Source organism: Homo sapiens, chromosome 2, assembly GCF_000001405.40.
Source record: "Homo sapiens chromosome 2, GRCh38.p14 Primary Assembly".
Classification (NCBI taxonomy): domain Eukaryota; kingdom Metazoa; phylum Chordata; class Mammalia; order Primates; family Hominidae; genus Homo; species Homo sapiens.
Genome location: NC_000002.12, coordinates 171,678,676 through 171,698,109, shown reverse-complemented (window position 1 = coordinate 171,698,109; position 19,434 = coordinate 171,678,676). Strand labels below are relative to the sequence as shown.

The window sequence follows — 19,434 nt, the reverse complement described above, 5'->3', positions numbered from 1 at the left end:
AATAGTCACATAGTGCCCAAGTATCACCCTCAGATATTACCTATTAGTCACAAGGGGCTAATTATGATGGAGAGATCAGGTTATCACAATTGTAACCCAATAATCAAGCTTAGCATTGCTCAATAGCCAGAGATGTGCTACTAATATGATACAATATGAAGGACACAACATCACTTATGAGATTTTCTTGCCAAAAAAGTTCAGCCTAAAGTGAATCAAGCTTCTTTTCTTTTCTTTTCTTTTCTTTTCTTTTCTTGAGATAGGGTCTTGCTGTGTCGCTCAGGCTAGAGTTCAGTAGTGCGATCATGGCCAGCACCTTGACCTTGCAAACTCAATTGATCCTCCCACCTCAACCTCCACAGTAGCTAGGACTACAGGTGCCTGCTATCATGCCTGGCTAATTTTGTTTTTCTTTTTTTTTTTTTGTAGAGACAGGGTCTTGCCATGTTGCCCACGCTAGTCTTGAACTCCTGGGCTCAAGTGATCCACCTACCTCAGCCTCCCAAATATCTTTCTTCGTTCTTCCTTTCTCTCTCATATCCCAAAGTAATGGGATGACAGGTGTGAACCACCACACACAGTTCGAATTAGATCAAAATTGAGCTTTTAAATCTAACTTCCAGTTTAAAGGAAATATAAGGGATAAAAGCTAAATGTGAGAATGCCATCAGACAAACCCAGGAGGGGAGACAGTCTACAAACCAATTGGCCCACCCTCTTCAACAAGTAGATATCATGAGGCAAAAAGTAGTATGTGTGTGGAGAATATTCAAGATTTTTAAAAATTAGGAAGGGTGTAGTGGCTCATGCCTGTAATCCCAGCACCTTGGGAGGCCAAGGCAGGAGGATCGCTTTGAGCCCAGGAGTTCAAAGCCAGCCCTGGCAACATAGTGAGACCCCATCTCTATAAAAAAAAACAAAAACAAAAACAAAACAAAAAAATTAGTTGGGCATGGTGGTGTGCACCTATGTTCCCAGCTACTTGGGAGGCTGAGGTGAGAGGATCGCTTGAGCCTGGGAGGTTGAGGCTATAACAAGCCATGGTTGCACCACTGCATTCCAGCCGAGGTGACAGAGCAAGACCTTGTCTCAAAAATAATAATAATAATAATAATTAAGAAAAATAAAAACATATAGCAATGCAATGTATGTATGGTACAGCAACACTTTGGAGGGAAACAAACTAAATTTCTTGAGGAAAGAAAAATGTTTGTGAACCTAGGACTATTTTGTAAAAGGAACAAAGGGGGTGATTTTCTGTATCAGAAATTAGAATATAATACAAAGGTGCAGTAATTAAAACTGGGTTGTGTAGAACCAAACAAATAGATTCATAGTGAAAATAGAGAGCCCAGAAATGCCCATAAATATATGGGAATTTACTGTATGACAAAGTTGGCATCGGACTTCAGTGGGGGAAAAGATAGACTAACAAATGGCACTGAGAAAATTAGCTACCTATATAGAGAAAAATTAGGTTGGATCCCTACCTCATACTATTTTTAAAAATATAACCCAAATATCTACATGTGAAGGGTAAAACTATAAAATTAATAGGAAAAACATAGAAGAATATATTTGCATCCACAATGTAGGAAACAATTTCTTTTTAAAAAAGACCAAAAGCACACAAAAAAGGGTTATACAGGTTGAGTATCCCTTACCCAAAATGTTTGGGACCAAAGGTGACAGATTATTTTGGATTTTTGACTATTTGCATTATACCTAGCAGTTCAGTATCCTAACTTAAAAATCTGAAATCTGAAATTCTCTAATCAGTATTTCTTTTGAGTGTCATGTTGGTGCTTAAAGTGTTTCAGATTTTGGGGCATTTTGAATGCTGAATTTTTGGATTAGGAATACTTAGCCTGTAATTGCTAGATTTGATCATATCAAAATGAAGGATTTGATCATATCAAAATAGAGGATTCTGTTCAATGAAGAATATTATAAGCAGTTAACAGATTAGAAGGGTTTTTAAAAAGACTAAAACAGACAAAAGTCCTCCCTAAAATATACAAAATACACAAAGAATGCCTATACATCAGAAGATAAAGAACCTCAATCATAGTAAATGGGGAGAAGGACATGAATATGCAGTTCACAGAAGGGAAAACTTGAATGGTTAAAAGATATATAAAGAGGTGGTCAACCTCACTGTAATCAGATAAATGTATATTAAAACATTTTGGTGTACCACTTTATACTCATCAAGTTAGCAAAAATTAGAAAGCTGGATAATATCCAGTCATCATGTGAATATGGTAAAGCAGTTACTTTTTCATGCACTGGTAGCGGGCGGGTAAACTTTGTAGCCATTCTGGAGAGTGACACGCAGAACCTAATTAAGCTAAGTCTTATATACAATAACATAGCAAGTAAATTCTTGGGGATACACCCCAGAGAAAGTATTCCACAGTCCTCAAGGGAAAAAACACATATTTTTTGCAGTGTTGCTTATGATAGTAAAGCAAAGAGACAAAAGGAAACTGAGTGCATAGCACTGGGGGAATGGATAAGTAAAATGTGGTACATAATAGGATATTATATATTAGAAATAAATGACTAAATACGTATATAGCAACATGGAATAAACAAAAGACATACAGCACTATGCCATTTATATATATAAAGTATATATACACAGAGATATGTGAAACCTTGAAAAACAGAGGATAATCTGAAGGATGTATGTTAAAAATTCAAAAGTGGGCCGGGCATGGTGGCTAACACCTGTAATCCAAGCACTTTGGGAGGCCGAAGAAGGCGGATCATGAGGTCAGGAGTTCGAGACCAGCCTGGCCAACGTGGTGAAAGCCCGTCTCTACTAAAGATACAAAAAATTAGTCAGGTGTGGTGGCACGTGCCTGTAATCCCAGCTACTTGGGAGGCTGAGGCAGGAGAATCGCTTAAACTCGGGAGGTGGAGGTTGCAGTGAGCTGAGATCACGTGATTGCACTACAGCCTGGGCGACAGGGCAAGACTCCGTCTCAAAAAAAAAACCAAAAACCAAACAAATAAACAAACAAAAACTGCAAAAGTGGTCACTTAATGCATTAGTGGGAATGAGAATGGAATTAGAGATGAGAAATGAGGGACACATACACAAACCCTAAAGAATGGTCTTTCAAGAATTAATGATGGAGATGGGCCATTGATACAGTTTGGACATCCCCTCCAAATCTCTTGTTGAGATGTAATCCCCAGTGTTGGAAGTGGGGCCTAGTGGGAGATGTTTGGGTCATGGAGGCGGATCCCTCACGGTTTTGTTTAAAACTGTGTGGCACCTCCCCCCACCTCTTGCTCTTGCTCACTGCATGAGACATGCTGACGCCCCTTTGCCTTCTGCCATGATTAGAAGCTTCCTGAGGCCTTGCCACAAGAAGCCAGCAACATACTTCCTGTAAAGCTTGCAGAGCCATGAGCCAATTAAACCTCTTTTCTTTTTTTTTGAGACGGAGTTTCACTCCTGTTGCCCACACTGGAGTGCAATAGCCAGATCTCAGCTCACCACAACCTCTGCCTCCCAGGTTCAAGCAATTCTCCTGCCTCAGCCTCCTGAGTAGCTGGGATTACAGGCATGCGCCACCACGCCCACCTAATTTTGTATTTTTAGTAGAGACGGGGTTTCTCCGTGTTGGTCAGGCTAGTCTTGAACTCCCGACCTCAGGTGATCCGCCCACCTCGGCCTCCCAAAGTGCTGGGATTACAGGCGTGAGCCACCCCACCCAGCCACCTCTTTTCAAGTTACCCAGCCTCAGTATTTCTTTATAGCAACACAAAGAACTAACCCAGCCATAAATTAAGAAATATGAACACTTTAGGGGTGGGTGGATCATGAGGTCAGGAGTTCGAGACCAGCCTGGCCAATATGGTGAAACCCTGTCTCTACTAAAAGTACAAAAATTAGCTGGCGTGGTGGCACAAGCCTGTAGTCCCAGCTACTCAGGAAGCTGAGGCAGAAGAATCGCTTGAACCCAGGAGGTGGAGGTTGCAGTGAGCCGAGATTGTGCCACTGCACTCCAGCCTGGGAGAGTGAGTGAGACTCAGCCTCAAAAAAAAAAAAAGAAGAAAGAAATATGAACAAGTGAGTTCAGTGAAACTAAAGTCTTAAGAAGAACATAAAAGAAAAAAAATCCTATAGGAGAAAAACAAAAGCCAAAGCACAGAAAAAAAAGGTAACTCAAACAAAGGCTAACAAGCAACTTGGTTTAGTTACAAGAAATTAAGTGTTCTGATTCATTTACTTTTAAAATTGCATGTTCAACATAAGCTTATTGAATAAATACATAAAATTAATATACTTCAGTCTTCAAATTCTACAAGAAAAGGAAAATGAGCTGAAAGAAATAACAATGAAGCTGACCATGAGAGTAGCCAGCCTTTTCATCTTGAAACCTTTTAGAAATATCAGCTCTAAGGACAGTTATGTTGCAGTTTCACAACAAGCATAGAGCATTTACAATCTCCAGTATTTGTCCCCTGGACTAGATAAAATTAGCCCACCAACTAGCCCTAAAATGTTAGGTCTCTAAAGGATAAAGGCCATGTTAAACTAAAATACTACATAATAGCACCCAGCACAGAACTATTTTAAGTAAGCATTTGTTCCTGATATGTAACTAGATTGTCCTGTGTACCTCTACTATTTCAGCTTTTTTGGTCTAGTACAGTTATCAAAATGAATAACCCAGAAAAATAATAAGATTAAGTCAAATCACTTCGAAAATAAGCCACAAAATTATCTCCCTTATTAGCATTAACAGCAGAAGGCTATAAGCTTATCCTTCCACTCCTGTACCTTTGAATACTAATATATTTTGCATTCTAACAATATAAGTCTGATTGTATCTCTCGCTAATCTCCAGAAAGGAATATAGAGTTCAGATCAGGAATCCTAGTTATCTTTGAGCTTAACACAGTATGGCACATAAAACTTGCTTAACCAATGTTTGTTGAAATAAATTACTGATTTAATAAGAGAAGTCAATTGGTAGTTCAGTATATGTTAATAATTACTCTTGCAGCTCTTTTGAACAAATAAAATAACCATGTACTAGCATATCTGAAAAAAAGACAATTCCAAATAAAAGATTAATAATTTTAGAGACACAAGGAAAATATGTAAAATATATCAAGTCAATCCACTCAGCTATGTCTGAGCTGAACAGAATCTATGCCTATCTCTTATAAATGGATATATTCTTAACCTTACCAATGGGGGATTCTGGAGTTAGCCCCATGCTTTGAAGCAATGCTTCAGCTTCTCTCCTTTTTTTTTCAAGATCTGATTCTTCTTGCACAGGAGCAACAGCTTCCTTCTTCTGGTCTGTCTAAAATGTTTAGGTTAAAAACTTATGTTTACATATAGTATGAAAAATTTGTTTGCAAAAATGTTTTAAATAATATGCTAACACTGTATACTTTTAAGGCATGAACTTAGTTTTGAGTACAGGTTAAGTTCTTTTTATAGTCATTAAATGAAAATCATTCTCAATAGAGTTCTAGTAAATAACCTTCAAATGATATGTACTAAACTGCTCTATCTTCATATGTAATCAAGGAGTTTCCACAAAAATTTTCCTAACAGACAAATTCAAGAAGTACAGTCAACTTCGAATTATCTACAGTATGAAATTGCTGTCTATGGTCAGGAATAATAGACAACTTCCCCCAAGTGGCACAAAAGGTTAGATACAATATCACATACAATGAAAAAATTAAAGTGTAATTATTTAAGAGGTAACAAATTTTAAGTGAATGACAATATGATTTGTTGAAAAAGAGTATCACAAACTTCTGTATAAAGTCTTCATTTTATTTGGGATTGTGTTTTGTAAAATTAAACTCACTTTTGCATAGCACAAAACATTTTGTTATGAAAATTTTTGTCAGCTTTTATCTCGGCTATTTATCGTTTTAGCACAATCTGCTGGTTAAACTAGATAAACCTCAATACTCTCAGATCATCCAAGACTTCTCAAGTAAAATGTAAGCTTTCCAAGGAAAAGTTTTTTTTATGTAAATCTCAAATCCCTATGCCACCTAGACAACTATTACTCAGACACTGTCTGGAGTGAATTTTGTTAGCCATAATATTCTATGCCATTTTGACTTAAAAGTCATCAGAAAAATTAATCAAAATAACAAAACAGGTTGTAATATCAAGCTGATGCTTCACTGTTGATAAAAATATATTAATAGACTCACAGTTTAATACCATTGTATTATCTCTTGTAACATTTTTATAAACTTTGTTTTTTCCCATTGGTCTGTGTGACTCAATAAGTTTTACAAGCTTTAAATTAGGTATAAATCATGCAATAGATATCCCTTAGAACCCATTTTTGCCAGTTATGGCCATCATTAGAAAACAAAAATGAAATTTGCTCTCAGCACGGAAATGTTTAGGGATATAAATATTATTTTGGAATAGCTCTGCCAACCTGAATCATGCTTCTACCAGTCAGCTTTTAATCTAATAGCTAATGTAAAGCTCCAATCCTCTTATAATGTCTCACAGAAAGGTTCAGAATAAACTAGCAAATTCTTCAATTACAGGCCTTTACAGCATCATAGTAATGCTGCACATAAATTGTACCTTCAACTTTTCTACTACTTATTTTTCTCTTAGTCCCCAAGAGATTTCTGGCAGTCTTGGCCATTATTTAGGCTACCACATATAAAAACTTGGTCCTAAAGACACACAAGAAAAACTACCTTACACTAGGTATTTAAAACATATCTGTAGTAAAAGTACACTGATATGTCTAAAGAGTTTCCATAGGGATAAAAGTATATTTCAATGCATGAACAAGTAAAATGTCTCCAGCTCAGGGCCAATGTACATTTGCTGTATATAATGTGATGCATATTTTTGATACAAAAAATCAAAAGAAGTACCTGGTCCACCTTTATGGTACCATCAAACCTACTACTCAGTAAAAATATTTCAATGACTAACTCATAAGAGATAAGAACAAATCCCTTAGTCAATTAAATCATCTATTACATATATTTTATTTGCCATTAATATTATCCATTCTGACAAATTAGCAATTCAGACTAGCAAAATATTCAGATAAATTCAAAGTCCAAACTAAGTTATGATATATATACACCATATTTATGAGTTATTATAATATAGACATCTTGACTGAGTGTGGTGGCTCGTGCCTGTAATCCCAACACTTCGGGAAGCCTAGGCAGGAGGACTGTTTGAGTTCAGGAGTTCGAGACCAGCCTGGGTAACATGGCAAAACCTCGTCTCTACAAAAAAATACAAAAATTAGCCTAGCATAGTGACATGTGCCTGTAGGCCCAGCTACTCCAGAGGCTGAAGTGGAAGGATCACCTGAGTCAGGGGAGGTTGAGGCTGCAGTGAGTTGTGCTCAAACCACTGCACTCCAGTCCGAGTGACACAGTGAGACCCAGTCTCAAAAAAAAAAAAAAAAACCCAAAACAAAAAAAAATACAGATGCGCCTTACTTTATAATAAATATATTCCTAGGAGACTAAATTGTAAATTGAACTTTAATAAATCAAATTTTAGAAATGCATCAATCTATACGAAATTGTTTTTAAAAATCATATTTTATCAGTTTTGTCATTTTCACATATCTTGCTTCTTTAAAGTAAGATTCACTTACAGTGTTATGTCTGCAGTCAGAACTGCTAGATTTTTAACTATCCTGAAATTATTAGGTTTGTGCAAAAGCAATCATAATTTTTGCCATTACTTTTAACCACGATTACTTTTGCACCAACCTATATGTAAATATATAAATATGTGAAATAAAACCCAATTACTTTATGTTGTTTATTTAAGCAAAAAAATCAAACATACTTCTTTTTTTTTCCTTTCTTCTTCTTTTCTCTTCTTTTCCTCTCTGATTTGGGCCAGTCGCTGCTTCTTACGTTCCAACTCAGCCTTTAATTCACTTTTGTCTGACATGTTTGTGACCTTAGAAACATATAATCATTATGTTAGTAAAAGCAGCACAGTTGAAAAAACTAGTGTTCCAAGAAGAGAACTGTCCCGAAAGGCCATATAGTTCAATGCTATCTCAAAAAAGCACAAAAACCTTACTTTTAAAATAATGGGGCTGGGCAGTAGCTTACTTTGGGAGGCTAAAGTGGGAGAACTGCTTCAGGCCATGAGTTTGAGACCAGCCTGGGCAACAAAGCAAGACCCCATCTCTACAAAAAAAAAAAAAAAAAAAAAAAAGGCAAGAAAAATAAAAAATTAGGCGGCATGGTGGCATGTGCCTGTAGTCCCAACTACTTGGAAGGATTGCTGGAGCCCAGGAAGTCAAGGCTGCAGTGAGCCGTGATCATGCCACTGCACTCCAGCTTGGGCAACAGAGCGTCTCTAAAAAATAAACTTTTAAAAGATAAAATAAAGGAAGCATATATATTATTACTAAGACTTAAAAAATGTATAAACAAATATATATAATAAATATTACCTAGAGCTGAGCATAGTAGCTAGCCCATAGTAAGCACTTTAATGTTCGCATACACAAACTGAACACAATGTCTCAAAGTTTTTGATGACAATATATTAGGTACCCAAGATAAAGGTCAAAACTGGCTCTTAAAACAGAGGACATGGTTTGGCATTTAGAAGCTCTTAAGCTATATGACACAGATCAAAACTATTACCAATTCTATTGCATTCATAGAAACTTGATAAAAAACAATAGGTCAAACTGAACTTTCCTGTAAGTTCTAAAAGTGCTGTAGTAATACTAAAGCAAAACGCAGGAGTTACCATCATTAGCTATCAAATCATATGACTGTATTTCTCCACAATAACACCTTACGTATACCTCTGATGGCACTTTTAGTACAATTATTTGTGGACATACCTGAAATGTTCCCTATTAGATTGTAATGTACTTGAAATCAGGGACTGTTTTTTAGTTATTTTTGTTGCCTTCACAACATCCAGCAGAATGACCTTAACATTACAATTGACACTGGCTAATGAATAATGGATACGGTAGACACAATTACAATCTGAGCTTCAAAAACCAATTGCATAAACACTACTTCAGCTTGAGTTTTAGGAAGAAATAATGAATTAGGATTTTTTTTTTTTAAGTAGCCTAGCAGCTGAGCATAAGGCAGGAGCCAGGAACTCCTTACCTTCTCCACATGATTGACTTATTGCCTAATGATCAATCTCTTTCAATGTCTCTGTACAAGTGAAGTATTAAATGCTTTAGATCAAGAAAACTAGGAGAATAACCTCTGGAAAACTGTATTTCCAGAGGTTAGGGGAAATCTCTTAAAAAGCACAATTGTTAAATCTGAACAAAGGTAAGTCAGTCAAGAGGAGAAATTCACCTACTAAGAAGTGGATAAAGGAAATTTCAGCTACTAAACTCCATTAAGACTGGCAAGCGAATTGATAATTTTCAAGCATACGAAAAGGATGAAAAGTTGACATAGCAGACCTGAAATATATACACAATATCTTCCAAGATTTGTTTGAACAAACTAAAAGCAAGAGACCGTGTTTCTTATTCCACTCTTTCTACACCTCTAAACAGCTCCATACAAACGGCTGGTGAAGAGAACTTCCATACGTAACTGTATGCTACGCTAGGCACATTATATTTTGTTCAACGTCAACTGTAAAACAGATATACCAACACTAATTGATATTAAAATAAGCGCATTTTTAAAGCCCAACAACAAAGTCTTGACCAGCTGAACTACAGCTGACCAATCCTCTCATCCTCACAGAAGCCAGAGCCTTCCTCCATGACCGACATGTTCACGTTCTTAAAACTCAAGAGAAGAGAGTCTCTAGAGTTTTGTGCTAGAACCTCCGTGTTCGGGGGCTTTCCATCACACATAAGGTGAGGGGAGACACTATCAAGGCAAGTAGAGATGGCCTTAATTTGTAAAATGGGGCAAGGCGAAAACGAATCACTTTCTCCCCTGGGGTCACGGCCAAGAGGGCGCGGTCCACGGCAGGGCGTCCGGAAGAAGCCAGTGGGCGCCGGACAAGCCTCAAGGCTCCCCAGGCCGCCTCTGGAGGGTCGAGAAGGGAAAGGAGTGGACTCCTCTCGCCGGGCCGCAATGAGTCACCGCACCCAGGTCTCCCCGCCTTTCCTCCCCAAAGCTGGGCCGGGCGGGGATGTCAGCAGGAACTGCCAAGCCGCCCTTCGAGTTGCGACGTGGAACACAGGCAGGGAGGCCTTGAGGGAAGAACAGTCAACCCACCTGTCAGGTGACTGGATGGGGAAGAGTCCTCCCGCCTGCAACTTCCCGGTAACGTCCCTCGCCTAAGCCCCCAACACCAACTGTAGCCACCACCAGCTCCGCGGCTTTCCAAAGCACACAAAGAGGGATGGGCGGCGGCTGCTACGGCGAGAGCTTAGGGACAAATAGCCTCACCAGAACGAGGTCGCTCCCAGAAATAAAAGGTGGGGCCCTGCTGCGAGGAATTGTAGCCCCTCCGTGACTTACCTGTCGTAAAGCAGAAGCCGGTAGATAAAACAAAGAACCCAGTCAACCCAGGGGCCTTAAGTATTTCCGCTTTGCCAAAAACTGGAAAACTACGCCTAATATTCTCAGGCCAGGAATCCAACTTCCGCCCTCGCCTTACAAACTGACACGATCGAGAAGAACTACAAACCCCGGCAACAAGGAAAACCTGCGTGCGACGAGCAGTGCGTTCTGGGAATTGTGGTCGCTGGGCGTCGCAAGGTGTGCTGGGACATGTAGTGTGTCCCCTCCTTTAGATTTCCCACTCCAAGGCCTTCTTCCGTCGAGAAGCTTCTGTATAAAGTATTCTCGTCTGTTGATCCGTGCCCACAGTGTAGTATGTGTTATAGTGTAAGATCTTTGACCCAATATTGGCGGAATTTTAAGGTCTATTTTCCAGTGGTGAACCTGTGAATCACGCTGCTGCACATTTGGTGAAGACGTGAAGTAGACTGTTTAGGATGTAAAACATTATATATATATATGTACATACATATGTAAGTTTTAGGGAAAGAATGTCTTATATAGGCTTCATGTGGCATCTTAGGCAAAATCTAAATAAAAATATGTCAACTGACATAGCAAATAATTCTTTAGTATTTTGTTGCAGTGTGGTAGCATTTTGGTTTTCTCTCAAACAATTTTAGGAAATAAAGCATTTTGTATTATTGGACTCTCAAACCAAGCTAGAATGTTTTCCACAGTTAGATTTTTAACATACAAAGAAAACAAAAGTTACTGGAACATGAATTTACCTGCAATGTATACATTGACACACCTTTTTAAAGTTTAAATAATTTAAAGCATTATTTGGCAGGAGTTAAAGCTAACACCAAGGTAATATCTTTTCTATGTTCTAGAAAACTGATTGTTCTAGAAGTTCTAGATATTGCCCAAGTCTAGAATGAACCTTTATGATTCAAATTCCAAGTCCTTGGGCTTGTGGTCTTTTTCTTATCTTTCTCTGCCTTATCTGTGGTCTTTTGTGTAGAAAAAAATATTCTAAAAATAAATTTGAGAAAGAAAATCCTTGGCTTTCCACAGCTTTTCCCAATAACCTAACATTCAAAGAGCTTTATAGCTATGTTATTTTTTTACTTCTTTCCTAATAGTTTTCATGTATTAATTTGAAAAAAAATTATTATTGATTGCCTACCATGTGCCAGCAATGGTGATGGGTGTTGTGGTAACAGCTAAAATGGACCAGGCGCAGTGGCTCACACCTGTAATCCCAGCACTTTGGGAGGCCGAGGCAGGCAGATCACCTGAGCTCAGGACTTAGAGACCAGCCTGGGCAACATGGTGAAACCCCGTCTCTACAAAAAATAGAAAAATTAGCAGGGTGTGTGGCATGCGCCTGTAGTCCTAGCTAGTCACGAGGCTGAGGCAGGAGGATGGCTTGCGCCCAGGAGGCGGAGGTTATAGTGAGCTGAGATTACACAATTGCATTCCAGCCTGGGAGACAGAGCAAGACCCTGCCTCAAAAAAAAAAAAAAGAAAAAGAAACAAAAAAAACAAAAAACATAAAAATGCACAAAAATGCACATCCTTCTTCTCAAGGGAGAAAGGACACTCGCTCAACTAAGAATGGATGGTTCCTGACTGATGGTTTAACTTATGATTTTTTTCTCATTACAATGGGCTTATTAGAGTAAAATGCATTTTCAACATATATTTTTGACTTAAAATGGGTTTATCAGGACATAACTCAAGGAGCATCTGTATAATGATGGAATTATATAAGGAAGTCATAGAAACACCTGGAAAAACTTTTCAGGAAACTTTTGGAAGGAGGTGATTCTAGAGCTAAGTCTTTGATTCTCAAAGGTTGAGTAGAAGAAGTTAGCCAAGCAGAGAAGATGCAGAAAGGTGCCTTGGGAAGAGAAAAGAATATGGACAAAGGACAGAGGTGTGAGAGCATAGAATGCTGGTGAATTTGGAAATAATTCACAATGGCCGTAGGCTAAGACAGGAACTGGGGAATGAAGCCATAAGCAGGGGCAAAGTCGCACATCCCAGTTTAGATTTAGTCCTACAGATGATGTGAATCCACTGGTAGATTTTAAGAGGGTGCAAGGTATGAGAAGGTTTGCATTTTAGATGACTGGCCTTTCAAAGTAGTCCGGAGAAAGACTAATGTGCTGGTTATTTTCTTTGCCCCCCAGATTCATTTCCTGCCCTTCTTTGCTAAGCTCTATGCCTCTGAGGGTTGACCTCAGTTTCTTTAAGGACTGCTTTGTGGTTGGACATAAAGAAGGCCAAGGCAAGGATATCAGAAGGTGGGTAGAAAGGGAAATTGGGGCATCTCTTCCTTGCTCCTTCCTTCTTTGAGTGTCAGATGTCCAGCAATAGCTTCATTCCTTCATGACTACAGTACCTGCCAGATGGCTCTTTCACCATGGCTCTAGTTTTCCCCGGGCTGTCTGGTGATTTTATGTTCTCCTTTTATCTCTTGAACACCTCCTCTGTAGCTAGTCTCTGAGTGCCTCATCATCTCGTTTGTTCCCTTAATACCCGCTCACCCCTCTGTAACTTGTCCTTTCATTAAAGTATTTTCATGTGAACTATCTTGTGAATTCTGTTTCTTGTTGAGACCCTTGTTGATACAGCTTGCCTAGAGGGATGAGAGGTGGAGAAAGAGGTAAGGTAGAGACTGGAAGCAGGGAATGCAACTGGAAGAATTTGGGTAGAGCCAGCAATTATAAATGCATGAACTGATGCATCATCAGTGAGAATTAAGAAAAGTAGATGGATTGGAGAAATGTTAACATTATGTGAGACTTCTACAGCAATAAAGCAGACTAGATACCTCTTCCCACTGAAAACCACTCAATATACTGGCTGGATAATGTAGCTTTTGAGTGGGTACAGTGGCTCATGCCTATAATCCCAGCACTTTGGGAGGCCAAGGTGGGAGGATCACTTGAGCCCAGGAGTTCGAGACCAGCCTGGGCAAGATGGCAAAACCCCATTTCTGTAAAAAATTTTAAAATTAGCTAAATATGATGGTACTCACCTGTAGGCCCAGCGACTTGGGAGGCTAAGGGCGGGAGGTTTGCTTGAATCCAGGAATTTGAGGCTGCAGTGAACTATAATCACACCATTGCACTCCAGCCTGGGTGACAGAGTGACATCCTATTGCTTAAATAAATAAATAAAATTTAAAAAAATGTTTTAAGATATGAAATACGTAACTAAAAAACCCCCCACTTTTTTGTTGTTTTATTTTTAACACTTTTTTGAAGAAATGCATTAGCAGCACTGATTAGAAAGACTGTACCCTGGACATTACATAGTTCAAACCACTATGTCTTCCTACTTTTTAAGTTGGAAGGGCTGGGGAGGAGTCCTAATAAGCATTAGTGCTGCAGGGTGTTTTCGAAGGGGAGAATTTGCATTTTAAAACTTCTTATAATGGTTTGTAGGAGAGGGTAGAAATATAATATATACAGATGAATTTGTTGAACAAACTCATATCTGGATTTACACTTGAATTCAATATGCCAATGTTTGCAAAATTTTAATACAATTAATATATTGACATAATGCAGGATTTCATTTATATAGAATGCAAAAGAAGGTAAAACTAATCTAATGAAATGTCAGAATAGTGGCTATTGAGGTATAGGGATATTGATGGCAAGGGATATGGGGAGGTTTCTGCGGTGCTGGGAATGTTTCATTTCTTCATCTGGTGGGGGTTACACACATTTACATATCTGTAAAACATTCATTGACCTCTACTCTTAACATGGGTCCTTTTTATTGTATGTATGTTATATTCAAAAAATAGTTAAGAAAAAAGTAGCTATTAAACCATGGGACTTAAACAAATGTATAAAACATCAAAAAGATGTAGCAGACACCAAATTGGAAGAGGAAGGAATTTGAAGGGGTTAAAAATGTATTCTGCTACCCAGCAGTTCAGGCATCTCAAAATATTCCAGGAACTCTAGTAAGTCCCAAGTAATCAGCTAGAACATTTATAGCCATTTGTTGACAACCTTGTTATATACATCCTCATCATACAAGTTTTTAATGAAATTATGTTGTGAAAAGAAAGCTGTGGCCCCATAGCAATGCATGAAGCTTTCTAGTAATTATATTTTTAATGCTCTTGCGTAAATGTCACTTGATTGGTTTATAACTTTGCTAAAATGACATGTATAAAATCTAATACATACATTTGTGTGACCTTCTTACCATGCAAAGAACATTTTCCAGGACCTTTTCATAAATATTGGATTGTTATTATTTTTTCCACATTTTAATCAGAGGTCCTCTAAGATTTCACTTTGGTTAAGTTCATGAGGTTTCTACCAGATTGCCTGTGGAATCTTGAGATTGTTCATTCTTCACATGTTAACAGCTCTTCCTGAGTCACTTGTGTTTTTAATTTTTTTCTAAATATTTCCACTTCACCTTCAGTAAATGTATTTGACTCTTAGAAACATTGGCATGAGAAAATATTTTCTTCCAACTTTGGAAACTCTCTTAACTTTCCCATTTGCTCTCATGTCTAAGAGAAGCTCTTTAGGAAACTATCTTCACTCAGGGGAGTGTTCATGAGCTGACCAGCAGGTCTCTGATAATTTAACAGCATTACTTTTCTATTATCCTTATTATTGTTCTAGTCTGTATTTTTCCCTTTGGAGTGTTTGCTGCATTGTTAACTTAATATAGGTTTTTTTTTTCATTATTTCCTCTACTTGTCTTGATGCACATATTTTCTCTGTTAGTGTCAAAATAAGGTGATGGTGAATTATGAGTCCCTTCTGAGCCTAGAATACTTTTGTAATCTGGTAACCTTTGGCATGAAGCACATATCCTAGTGAATGATGGAGCACTTAAGAGTGATTCGCCACTGAGCATTACAGAAAATAGGCTGAGGGGCTCAAAAATTCAAGGCAAGTTCCTTCTACTCAGCATGGTGTATATACTGCACTCTCACTTTCCTACCCCCTATTATGTGGTTAAGAGAGAGGAGATAATGATGGCTTCTTAAAGTTACTGATAATGCACTCAAAAAAACTCTGTTAGGTGTAATGGTTTTAAAAGGTAGAATGAAAACACAGCTAGGAGATCAACACAAAAGGAATCATTTTCTGTTAGAGACAGTGAGCCTGTGCCCTTGATAACACACACGCAGCTCCCATTAACTATAACAGGAATTATGAGTGCCCCGTTAAAGGAGCGTATACCCCCAAAATGTGGTAGGGGCATACACTTTCTTCACCAGAGTTTCTTGTATTGATTTAGTTTCTTATGGTAGAATAAAATATTGTATTATATTTTTAATTCCTCTTGACTATTCAATATATCATCTTTTGAATGTGGGAGTGTAAAATAAAAATTGCTAATTGGCAGGTAGAATATATTTAAACAACCACAAACCCTATGTAAAGCCCAAACCAGACCCAGATTGATTAATTTTCAGGCTAGAAGCATTGACCTGTAATACTCCTCATTGAATATTTATTCAACATTTGACCTTACTGACTTTAGACAAATTTAAGGGTGGTTAAGACTTTCCACATTAATGTTGAAATGAGCTTCTAATTCTGAAGAACTGTTGATTAACAACATGCACAGATTTACGTAATGAGAAAAGAACTGTGGTTTGCTCAGTGGTCTTTCCAGCTGTATGTAAGTATAGAAATATAGAAATCTTGATCACTGGCAGAATTTTAGGTTTTCATTTTGTTTTGTTTTGTTTTTGAGATGGAGTCTCGCTCTGTCACCCAGGCTGGAGTGCAGTGGCGCCATCTCAGCTCAATGCAAGCTCCGCCTCCCGGGTTTACGCCATTCTCCTGCCTCAGCCTCCCGAGTAGCTGGGACTACAGGCACCTGCCATCACGCCTGGCTAATTTTTTTTTGTATTTTTAGTAGAGATGGGGTTTCACCATGTTAGCCAGGATGGTCTCGATCTCCTGACCTCATGATCCGCCCACCTCGGACTCCCAAAGCGCTGGGATTACAGGCGTGAGCCACCGCACCTGGCCAGAATTTTAGTTTTTAAAATGTTGTTTGTGGATATGCCTGAATATGTGTGTGTGTGTGCGCACAGAAATATTTGTGCAAATGTAACACCATTTCCTGAGTTCCCAAGCCGTGCATCCAACTCTCCACTGGATATCTCCTGGAGATCCTGCAGGCACCTCACATTCTACATGTCTAAAACTGAACTGTCACCTTTCCTAGCAAGCCTGCTCCTCCTCCCCTGTTTCCAACCTCACTGATGAAACCATCATTCCTTCACTCAACCAAGCCACAATCTTCAAAATCATCCTATTTCAGATTTCATATCCCCCACATTTGTTGATTCCATCTCCTACATATTTTCTGGAGGCAACAGGAAGACATTTGTGGTGTGAGTGGGCAGGCTGTAGCAAGCATGAATCTAGCATCAGATCTAGGCAGATGGTCTTCCTGAGAGAAGTGTGAGCGCAGGAAGGGAGAATCCAGCCACAGGACTGGCAGTGCGGAAATTCAGGCAAGATAGTCCCAAGCTCAGATAACTAACAGATTAGTGGGAAAACGAAGCAGTAACGAGCGAATGCCAGGGGTGGAGACGTAAGATGGGGGATATATTCCTGGAACTGGGATGGCAAGCAGGACTTGGTGACATATGGCCTAAATGGTCACTTGCTACAAGATAAAAGGTCACAACTGGGCCAACAGTAAACACTTTTATTAACGCAGAGCCACAAAGCTCTGGATCCCATAGTCCTTACATTTCCCTGGCCTGGGAGCCAAATTAAGCCCAGAGTCTGGAGTAGGAATGCAGGAGCAGATGGGAGTTGGGTGGTCCCAGCTTCCAGCTTCTGGGACTTTGCAGCCAGAGAGGTCGTCACATAGCTATCTCTGGATGCTATCTGTAAGTGTGTCATTAACAGCTCCCTTATCATTTTAATTTATTGCTTAAGATGTTTTTCTCTGAATAATTTCACAGTTTCAAAAGAACAATGTTTGTGCCATGTATTAATATTTGGCTATTCTCGGGTATATACTAGATTACCAAGGTACCTGGATTAGGACAGTAAATTGCAAGAGGGCAAATGCGTCATCTTGCTTGGCCTACACTGTTTCCTCAGCCTTGAGAATAGTATCTAGCCCATGTGGGGTATACGAGAAACAGTCATTAATTTTGGTTGAATAACTAAGTAATTATAATCGTATTTGTTACTTTGGACCTTACAGATTTAGATTCTAACAGTTAAGACATCACAAACTGTAATCTTGCTTTTCTCATTGTAACAAAGTAAACAAGGAAAACTAGGAGTGATGTTCAATATATTGTTTTCAAGCAGCTCTGTAGCAAAACATTTGAATTAATAAAGATGCTACTTATAAATTATTTTTGAGGGGCCGAGTGTGGTGGCTCATGCCTGTAATCCTAGCACTTTGGGAGGCCGAGGCGAGAGGATCACTTGAGCTCACGAGTTCAATACCAGCCTGGGCAACATAGTGAGATCTCATCTCAAATAAATAAATAAATAAATAAATAAATGTTGACATTCCCAAAACTCATTGAAATCATAGAAAAATACTAGTACTCTCAGGTATGAGAGGGTGTGAGAGAACCACAAGTGATACTGCGGGAACGAGCTCAGAGCCCATAGCTGCAGGGGCGTCAACACCCACAAGGCCTGAAGAAAGGGAGAGAGAGTAACAGAAACCTGACTCAAGAACATTTTACAGGGTGAGGTATCTTGAGCCCAGGCAGCTCAAGGTGACCTCATAGGGAGGAAACCAAGGAAATAAGTGACCCTGATGTCACTCTGATCTCCTCCTGGGGCTTCCCGTTGGCCAAACCCTACTGGAAGCCAGTAGGCACAGGAGACCATTCACCCAGGTCAGCCTCCTGAGGCCGAAATCAGGGTGGAGAAGGGTGAAAGTGCATCTGGAGGGGCAAAGGGAAGGTATCAGATGACATGTTACAGGTGGTTTAATTCTGAGAAGTAAGCACTTTGTTCCCGGTAGGCAACCATACATTGTTAAGTTTTCAGTTTCAGCTGACTGGAGCTACTGGCTTCAGGTAAATAATAGCTCATCTCAAGGTAGCTACATGTCACAAAACACTCAATGGGGATTGGAACAATGCCTGTAAGGAGTGTGTGTGTGTGTGTGTGTGTGTGTGTGTGTGTGTGTGTGTGTGTTTTGTTTGTTACTATTCAAGGACAATATTTTCCAGGAATGAGACCAATGTACATTTTGCCACTCATAAGAAGTTGCATGGGAAACCCTGAGTTAATTGGCACCATGTTTCTAATTAATTCTAATAATAGTTAGAATCCTTTAATTGGGCCCCCTGAGCAATGATCCAGCACTGCCCTTTATTGTGAACTGATTAGACATAAGGAAGTAGAGGGAGATGAAGGACTTTAGAATTCTTTAAAGGCATTGTATTTGATGGGGTACATATGTAACACTGCATTTTCTCTAGCCAAATTTAGAACTATTTGAGAGAGAGAAAGAGACAGAGACAGAGAGACAGAGGCAGGGACAAGTAACTCAGGCAGTTCTCCTTGGAGGGCCTGCTTGTATGAAACCCATAGCAGAGAACAGACAGCAATGCATGGGCACTTTCTTTAGGTGCACAGATGCCAAAGGAAATAATAAAGTAGAGAGAAAGTAGGAAGCTGCATGTACTAAGGTTTTTTCTCCCAAATTCACTAATGAGATAATTCTCTCCTCCTCCTGCAGGGAGGAGTAAGGGAGGGGATGGAGAGAGGCCAAGGGTGGTACTCTGGAAAGATCCCACTACAAAAAAACCTAAGATAAGGAAAGAGGAAGTGCTTCTCCAATAGAAGACAATATCTTGGCTTACTGGATGCCATTAGAGAATATACAAGGAAAGGAAAAATAGTGACTTGGTTTGAGAAATGTTTGACTTTAGTTGCTAGTGGACATTAAGTTGCGGATATACAGTAG

At 39.1% G+C, this 19,434-nt stretch overlaps 1 protein-coding gene across 12 annotated transcripts in view, besides 1 other annotated feature; it reads right to left on the bottom strand.

Moving 5' to 3' along the window:
- The window catches only part of DYNC1I2 (dynein cytoplasmic 1 intermediate chain 2), a 62,690-nt gene extending 52,049 nt beyond the window's left edge, over positions 1–10,641 (bottom strand). For 6 of the 12 annotated variants that reach the window (NM_001378.3, NM_001271786.2, NM_001320882.2 and 3 more), the window contains exons 1-3: positions 10,483–10,641; positions 7,847–7,963; positions 5,216–5,333 (exon numbers count right to left, since the gene is read on the bottom strand). In NM_001378.3, coding sequence (NP_001369.1) covers positions 5,216–5,333; positions 7,847–7,954 — 226 coding nt within the window. In that variant the 5' untranslated portion in view covers positions 7,955–7,963; positions 10,483–10,641. Of the gene's footprint in view, positions 1–5,215; positions 5,334–7,846; positions 7,964–10,236; positions 10,356–10,482 lie in introns of those variants that run through there. The other 6 variants (NM_001271785.2, NM_001271787.2, NM_001320883.2 and 3 more) reach the window with 1 other exon arrangement.
- Positions 10,471–10,640: an enhancer, noted in NCBI's record as "active region_16759". NCBI's record gives its function as "activates an Ori minimal core promoter by ATAC-STARR-seq in GM12878 lymphoblastoid cells {active_cell/tissue: GM12878}" and the evidence as "EXISTENCE:reporter gene assay evidence [ECO:0000049][PMID:35858748]".